Source organism: Homo sapiens, chromosome 6 (assembly GCF_000001405.40).
Source record: "Homo sapiens chromosome 6, GRCh38.p14 Primary Assembly".
Taxonomy (NCBI): domain Eukaryota; kingdom Metazoa; phylum Chordata; class Mammalia; order Primates; family Hominidae; genus Homo; species Homo sapiens.
In genome coordinates this window covers 32,439,498-32,447,590 of record NC_000006.12, presented here as the reverse complement: position 1 = coordinate 32,447,590, position 8,093 = coordinate 32,439,498, and the positions used below count along the sequence as shown (strand labels likewise).

The window sequence follows — 8,093 nt, the reverse complement described above, 5'->3', positions numbered from 1 at the left end:
TGGATGTTTATAGCAGCTTTATTCATAATTGCCAAAAATTAGAAGCAACCAAGATGTCCTTCAATAGATTAATGGGTAAATAAACCATAGTACATTTATACAATGGAGTATTATTTAACATTAAAGAAAAATAAGCTATCAAGCTATGACAATATACGCAGGAAACCTGTATGCATATGGCTAAGCAAAAGAATCTCATCTGAAAAAGCTCTATGCTGTATGATTACAAGTATGTGACATTCTGAAAAAGGCAAAACAATAGTAAATAGCTCAGAGAATGCCAATGGCTCAGAGGGAGGAAGGAAGGATGAGTAGATGGAGCCTGGGTCATTTTTAGATCAGTGAAGCTATTTTGTTTAATCCTGTAATGGTGGATATATGATATTATGTATTTGTCAGAACCCATATAACTGTGTAATACAGAGTGAACCCTCGTATAACTATGAATTTTAGTTAATAATAATTATTAGTATTGGTTCATCAATTGTAACAAGTGTACCACATTAATACAGGATGTTAAGCATTGTAGAAACTGGGGGTGGGGGAGCTCTGTATACAATTTCTGCAATTTTTCTGTTAGCTTAAAACAGCTCTAAAAATAAAAGTCTATTAAAATGGTTTTCCTTTTTTTTTTTTTTTTTTTTTTCTTTTTTTTGAGATGGAGTCTCGCTCTGTCGCCCAGGCTGGAGTGCAGTGGTGCGATCTCGGCTTACTGCAAGCTCTGCCTCCTGGGTTCACGCCATTTTCCTGCCTCAACTTCTCGAGTAGCTGGGACTACAGGCACCCGCCACCACACCCGGCTAATTTTTTGTTTTTTTTTTTTTAATAGAGACGGGGTTTCACCATGTTAGCCAGGATGGTCTCGATCTCCTGACCTCGTGATCCGCCCGCCTCGGCCTCCCAAAGTGCTGGGATTACAGGCGTGAGCCACCGCGCCTGGCCAAAAACGGTTTTCTTACATGGTAGTATATGGGTTTACTTTTTGCTTTCTTAATCCATGCTTGTCTAAGTTTTAGTGTATTCTCTGTGTTAAGCTATTTATTTTATAATAAAGTTTGTAGTCATGTAAGAAAGACATTCATACCTATTCTACCATCAGTAGTCTCAAGATTCTGCTTTGATTCTCTGAACCAACAGTAGAGAAACTTTTTTTTTTTTTTTTTTTTTGAGACGGAGTCTCAGTCTGTTGCCAGGCAGGAGCGCAGTGGTGCGATCTCGGCTCACTGCAACCTCTGCCTCCCGGATTCAAGAGATTCTCCTGCCTCAACCTCCAGAGTAGCTGGGATTACAGGCGCCTATCACCACGCCTGGCTAATTTTTGTATTTTTAGTAGAGATGGGGTTTCACCATGTTGGCCAGGATGGTCTTGATTTCCTGACCTTGTGATCCGCCCACCTCGGCCTCCCAAAGTGCTGGATTACAGGCGTGAGCCACCGTGCCCAGCCGAGAAACTTCTTATTTATTAGTAAGGCTTAGAAGGTCATGATGCTTTGGTTTATCCTTGTTTTGTTTAGCTTCTCTTAGATTTTTATCATCACTCTATAGAAATTTTGAGAAAAACAACAGAATGTATAATTTTTTGCAATATTTTATTATCACTAAGCATGTATCTAATTACTTTGCTTGCGTTTTCCTTTTAATTCTGATATTAATTCAATGTAGTAAAAATTAACACCAGTATTTTCATGAGTAATGTGAGGCTAAGTTAAGTAAGATACCAGTGAAAACATAGCTAGTAAATGATACAGCCAAGATGAAACCCAAGCCTAACTCATTTCAACAGCATTTATTTGCAGTCTACCACACTATCATGAATAGTTTACCTTAGTGGTTTATGGCAGGTTCTAGAAACTATTTTAGAGATAAATATCAAGTCATAGTTTTATAGACAAATGAGCAACAGTTCATCGTGTTTCAAATATTCCTTCCTCTCATCTTAATGTCATATCTTTCTCCCCAACCCCAAATTTCACTCAGCTTTTCCACTCAAAGACACATCTTCAAATATAAGGTGGTTTCAAGAATCAGTCAGACTACTCTCTCGGTAATACAATAGGCATCTGAGACTATGTCTAACAGAATGGGTAAGGCCAGTCTTCAGTGTCCAATCTCTTTGCTCATTAAATCTGGAATGAACGATGTTGATATGTAAATCCTGCAATGTTTATGGATTCTTCTGTCTTCCTTCTCCCCACTCTAACCCCATCTGCTCCCCTCCATCCCATGCATTCTGAGATCCATACCTTGGGGTTTCAGATTCACTCTACTGAAGATAGAGTTATATCATTGCTCAGTAGAGATCTCCCAACAAACCAATCCCACTTTAGGTTTTCCTGATGAGGACTAGACCACAACAAGAGGGTTGCCTGCAGATGCACAAAATGAGACCAAGCCCAAATGAACCGGGATATGTCTGATGAATTCTAGAATTTATAAGATAAATTCAACATTCAGATATTTTACCGGGAAAGGATCACATATATTCCCCAGGACCGACTCCCCACCCCCCACCGCCACCCAAAGAACTGGCTTAAACACCAAAAATTCCACCCAAGATCATCAAAATAGTTTATTGTGTTCAGAAAAATCACAGTTTGAGGAAACCTTAAACAATAAGTACACAAGAGATGCCCCATGGGGCATTCCATAGCAGAGACAGACTCCTGTATGTTTTATTCCAGAGGCATTGCATGGTGATAATAAAATGATAGGAAATAGAGGAAAATAGATACAGGAAAAGGCAATAGACAGGGAAGCCAGCTAGATGTTAGAGTACGGAGCAATCGAAGAGGCATATCCACACTTGGGGTGGCTATAGGGCTGGAAAATGCTGAAGATGACTGCTTTCACTGAGGTCAAGGATTGTAATATTGCCAGCTTTGTAAAGCCATTAAAGCAGAAGTTTCTTCAGTGATCTTCTCTCTAAGAAACACCATCACCTATAGCAAGACACACATAGTTACCAAGGAGTTGAAGATCAGTTTTGAGCTCCTTGCTTCAGATTCCTTCCTCTTCTCTCTTAATCCTTTGACTTTGCAAAATTCTTTCAATGTTCATCTAACCTTTCCAACATGAACTAACTGTATACCCTACTCTCCAACTGAACATAATAAGCAACCATGCTTTACCTTTTTTTAGAGTTTCTCATACTACATTTGAGACTAAAGAAGCAAAAGCAGGCATTGGCCTCTAAGAGATTCCCATTTCATGCAATGAATTGACCCTAACCTGAAAGGAGCCAGGATCTGGAAATGCTTCTGAACTGATGACCTGCCCCAGGAAATACAAGCTAGGATGTGCCCAAATCTTGAGGCTTATTTTTCTAGATCCCTAGACTCAGTATTTTCTAGATCCCTAGACTCCATATTCTAATGTATTTTCTAGATCCCTAGACTCAGTATTCTAATGTGAAACAATGGTTTTAGGTACTGGAGATGATTTCTAAGACTGGAGCCGTGATCAAGGTGCCCGTCTATAGAAAGGGATGACAGACCCTGAAGCTTTGGGATACCAGATGATACGAATGTCTGATTCGTTCTAGCAAAGAGAAATCAAGAGCCACATCTGTTCCTACCTTGTCTCTTAAATGCATTACATTTCCTTTCCCCACCCTGTTTTCCTCCCTCAGATATCTCCATATACGTCTTCCTCTGACCACACCTAACTCACCTCCATGTGCCTTACAGAGGCCCCCTGCGTTCTGCTGCATTGCTTTTGCGCAATCCCTTGATGATGAAGATGGTCCCAATAATGATGCCCACCAGACCCACAGTCAGGCCCAGGGCACACACCACGTTCTCTGTAGTCTCTGGGAGAGGGCTTGGAGCATCAAACTCTGGGGGGAAATAAGGCAGAGTACATGGTAATGAGTGTGGGAAGAAGTAACACTCAGAATCAAATGTAGGGTTCTTAATAAAGAGAAAAGTTATTCATAGATTAAAGAAGAGGAAGACAGAATGATGTATTGAGAGAATTACAGATTAAAAAAAGGAGGAAGCTGGATAGTAGGAGAAGACAGTTATATTAATTGTAGCAGATATTATGAAACAGTTAGAACACCGAGTTTCACACAAGCATCATAGGAGGAAACCTTGAAATAAAGGAGATTGAGTGTTGGTCCATACCCCAGTGCTTGAGAAGAGGCTCATCCAAGCCCCAGTGCTCCACCCTGCAGTCGTAAACGTCCTCAGTTGAGGGCAGGAAGGGGAGATAGTGGAACTTGCGGAAAAGGTGGTCTTCCCTGGGCAGGAAGACTGTCTCTGACACTCCTGTGGTGACAGGTTTTCCATTTCGAAGCCACGTGACATTGACCACTGGTGGGGTGAACTTGTCTATGAAACAGATGAGGACGTTGGGCTCTCTCAGTTCCACAGGGCTGTTTGTGAGCACAGTTACCTCTGGAGGTACTGGGGGACACATGACAGACATGACAGAAATCAGCCATCACTGCTTAGGCTCACCCCTCTCCCTCCCATGCTCAATTGTGGTACAAACGTATCTAAAAACCCTAAAGCTGAAAAAGTAGTTGAAATTGTGCCCTGAGAAATCTATGTCACATCCTCAGATAACAATCTCTGACAGCACCCCCTCCCCAAGAAATTGAGCCAATATTGAGGTATAAGATATCCAAGGACTTCCCTTCTGGCTCCCCCAGCATGAACTTAGGGCAATGACTTCGTAGGAGACCATGGATGACAGAGACAAGACTTGAGCACAACAAGATAGGATCAAACCCATAAAGTTCTCAGACCTCTGGCATGAGAATTTGGGGCTTGTTAATGGCAAGGTTAGACCCTTGGAGGGAAAATCAGTTACAATAATCTAACACAAAGAGCTGAAGCAACTACTTTCAAACTATGGATTCCCATGTCCAGGAGTGCAGCAGAGAGGGAGGTACCATTGGTGATCGGAGTATAGTTGGAGCGCTTTGTCATGATTTCCAGGTTGGCTTTGTCCACAGCTATGTTGGCCAATGCACCTTGAGCCTCAAAGCTGGCAAATCGTCCAAATTCTTCAAGCCGCCAGACCGTCTCCTTCTTTGCCATATCCACATGGAAAATCTCATCACCATCAAAGTCAAACATAAACTCGCCTGATTGGTCAGGATTCAGATAGAACTCGGCCTGGATGATCACATGTTCTTCTGAAAGGCAAGAAATGGAGAAAGAGAGTTGGGTGGGGGGAATCAAGAGAGGGAAATGAATAACCTACATACATGTAGGCAGGAAGTAGTGGAGAGAGATTGGGCCAAGAGGAATGAAAGAATGATGGCGAGTAGGGATGAGTGACAAGACAAGGTCTGGGTGAAGGGCATGCTGCTGAACAAAGCTGGGAGGGGAAAAACAAGAAGGACTGGTTATAAAGAGGGTGGATTGAAGGAGATGAGGGCTAAAGAACCCAGAGTCTTGTGAAGCTGTTGTTTGGCTCCATGTTACTAGCTGAGAAATTATTTTCTTTTTAGAAATCCAGCAGCAGCCCCTAAAGAGAAATGTTCTCTCACTTTCTTTACCCGGGCATTAAATACACTTAGGCCAGAATTCCAGAGGATCTCTTTCTCAGAACATTGTACTCTAAGAAGAAAGAAACGCTGTTTGAAAGGTTGGGTTTTAAACTCTGGGATCAAAAACATCTTGAATTCTTATTCAGCAACTTACCTAGTGATCCTGAGCAGATTATTCTACCTATTTATGTATAGTTTTCCTATTATGTAGCCCTGCTGTGGTTTTGATCCTGTCAGGGGTTTGTTTTTAAGATTAAATGAGATAAGGTGAGTAATTTCTTAATATATCAACAAGACTGTAACAAGCACTGTTTACATTTTAGAGTCAGAAGCTTCTCTTTATTTAAGGGCCAAATCTATGGAAAATATACCTGGGGACTGAAGTACTCCAAAAATTAAGACTGAGACCTTGTAGCGTCATAGTCCCCCTGCTTCCCAGCATCCAAACCCACACGGTGGTTACCTCTATGAGAAGGTTCTCGTCTGGATTGACCTTGGCAATTCCACCTTTTATCTTAATGCTCCTTAAATTGGGACTGTTATTATGGAAGATGTTCTGTTATGATTGACATTGAGAATAACCAACACCAAGGGAATAATGAACATGAAAAGAGAAAGCTACACTGGGAGAGTATGCTGCCTCTGTGGAGTGTATCGATGAGTGGGAGATTTTTTTTTTCCTTAGTCTTCAAAGATAAGGTGAGATATTTTGTTTTGTTTTGGTTTGGTTGTTTGAGACGGAGTCTTGCTCTATCGCCAGGCTGGAGTGCAGTGGCACCATCTCAGCTCACTGCAACCTCCGCCTCCCGAGTTCAAGCAATCCTCCTGCCTCAGCCTCCCGAGTAGCTGGGACTACAGGCGTGTGCCACCATACCCAGCTAATTTTTTGTATTTTTAGTAGAGACGGGGTTTCACCATGTTGCCCAGGACGGTCTCGATCTCTTGACCTCATGATCCGCCCGCCTCGGCCTCCCAAAGTGCTGGGATTACAGGCGTGAGCCACCGTGCCCAGCCAAGATGAGAGATTTTAATGTTTGACTGTGTATTGATAAACCTAGGAATTTATTTACCGTTTGCATCTATGCAAACACACACAAATATACTAGCTGCCTCTTCACAAACCAAGGGAAGATCCTCTGTCTTTCTAGGTAAGTATCCCTATGTATGGCTCTTTTGGGGCAATAGAAATCTACAATTGCCACTATGGGTATGGGAGCTGGGTTATTACTTTGCTTATTTCAAGTCTACCTGACACCTTCTGTGGGGGTCACGCTGGGTGAAGAATACTTTTCTACAGTACATCTTTACAACAGCACCAATGTTGCTCTGGAGATGAGAGAGAATAATATCAGATTCCCCATTTCCTTACTTATTTTTCTACTCTCTTGGAAATATTACTAAGTTAACATGATATAAGATCTGCTGTACCATGGAGATGGGAAGGCAGGGAATGGCTATCACTGTCCCATGAGGCAACTCATATCAGCATGCCTTCCCTCCCCTTTTCCTGGGGTAAATTGTTGCTTTTTGATGACTTTTCCTTCTAGTAATCTTCAACACAATATATGTGCTCAATATATACCGACAGGATTTACACTCCAAAAAATAACTACTGTATCATGTATTCAGATAAGAACAGGGCTAATAACTTTTTTTTTTTCATTTAATTCTAGCAAAACTATGTGTGGTTTTTAGTTTTTAATTTTACTAATTTTCCAGAAAGAATAATTAAAGCCCAGAAATATAACTTGTTAATGCTTGCCAGAAAATATTCTTCCTCCCCCACCCCCACCCCCACCCCCAGTTTGGCTTGTAGCAGGACCTTGCTATTCATCAATACACAACTCAGTTTTGACCCTCTAAACCAAATTTGACTTACTTCAGTTTGTGGTGAGGGAAGAACTCCACCAAACCACAATTTGTTATACTTTCTGTCGAGACCACATAATACCTGTCACACTATTCTTTCACTCCACACATTATCTTCCAAATGTCCATAGGTCTTTTCTCCAATGCTTCGTAGTCTATCGTCCCAGATTTCATTCCCTCAGCACCTACCTTTGATAGCCCATGATTCCTGAGCGCTCATCAGCACAGCTATGATGAAAAATCCTAGCACAGGGACTCCACTTATGGCCATTTTCTTCTTGGGCGCTCTGTTGGGAGTCAGTAGAGCTCGGGAGTGAGGCAGAACAGACAAGAATAAAAGAAAAGAGAATGTGGGGTGTAATAGAGTCTGACCATTAAAATGCAAATCAATTACTCTTTGGCCAATCAGAAAAATATTTTGAGATGACGCATCTGTTGCTAGGGGAAGGGTTCTTGCAAAGGGTCCAGGACACAAGATACTCCGTTCATTGGATAAAGAAGTAAAGTTCTTAAACAAACAGGACAACAACAACAACAAATCAAGTATTTAAGACTGTTAGTCAATCACGGACAGACTCTTTAACCCCAATCTGACTTCTAGACAGGGATATACCTGAAGCACATTAGTGAGAATAGAATCAATGGAAACACCTAAAGTGAGAGCTAAATACAGATCATATGTCTGTGCAATGACAGTTGGAGAGTTTGCGTAAGGGACAATAAA

The 8,093-nt window shown here is 41.5% G+C and overlaps 1 protein-coding gene across 1 annotated transcript; it reads right to left on the bottom strand.

Annotated features, from left to right (window-relative positions):
• Nucleotides 1-2,544: 2,544 nt before the first annotated feature.
• On the bottom strand, nucleotides 2,545-7,704 carry HLA-DRA (major histocompatibility complex, class II, DR alpha). The gene is made up of 5 exons (NM_019111.5): nucleotides 7,559-7,704; nucleotides 4,898-5,143; nucleotides 4,125-4,406; nucleotides 3,670-3,835; nucleotides 2,545-2,939 (listed from the first exon to the last, which is right to left on the bottom strand). The coding sequence occupies exons 1-4, from the start codon at nucleotides 7,638-7,640 to the stop codon at nucleotides 3,681-3,683; spliced, it is 765 nt and encodes a 254-aa protein (NP_061984.2). The 5' UTR covers nucleotides 7,641-7,704; the 3' UTR covers nucleotides 2,545-2,939; nucleotides 3,670-3,680.
• Between the last annotated feature and the right edge of the window lie 389 nt (nucleotides 7,705-8,093).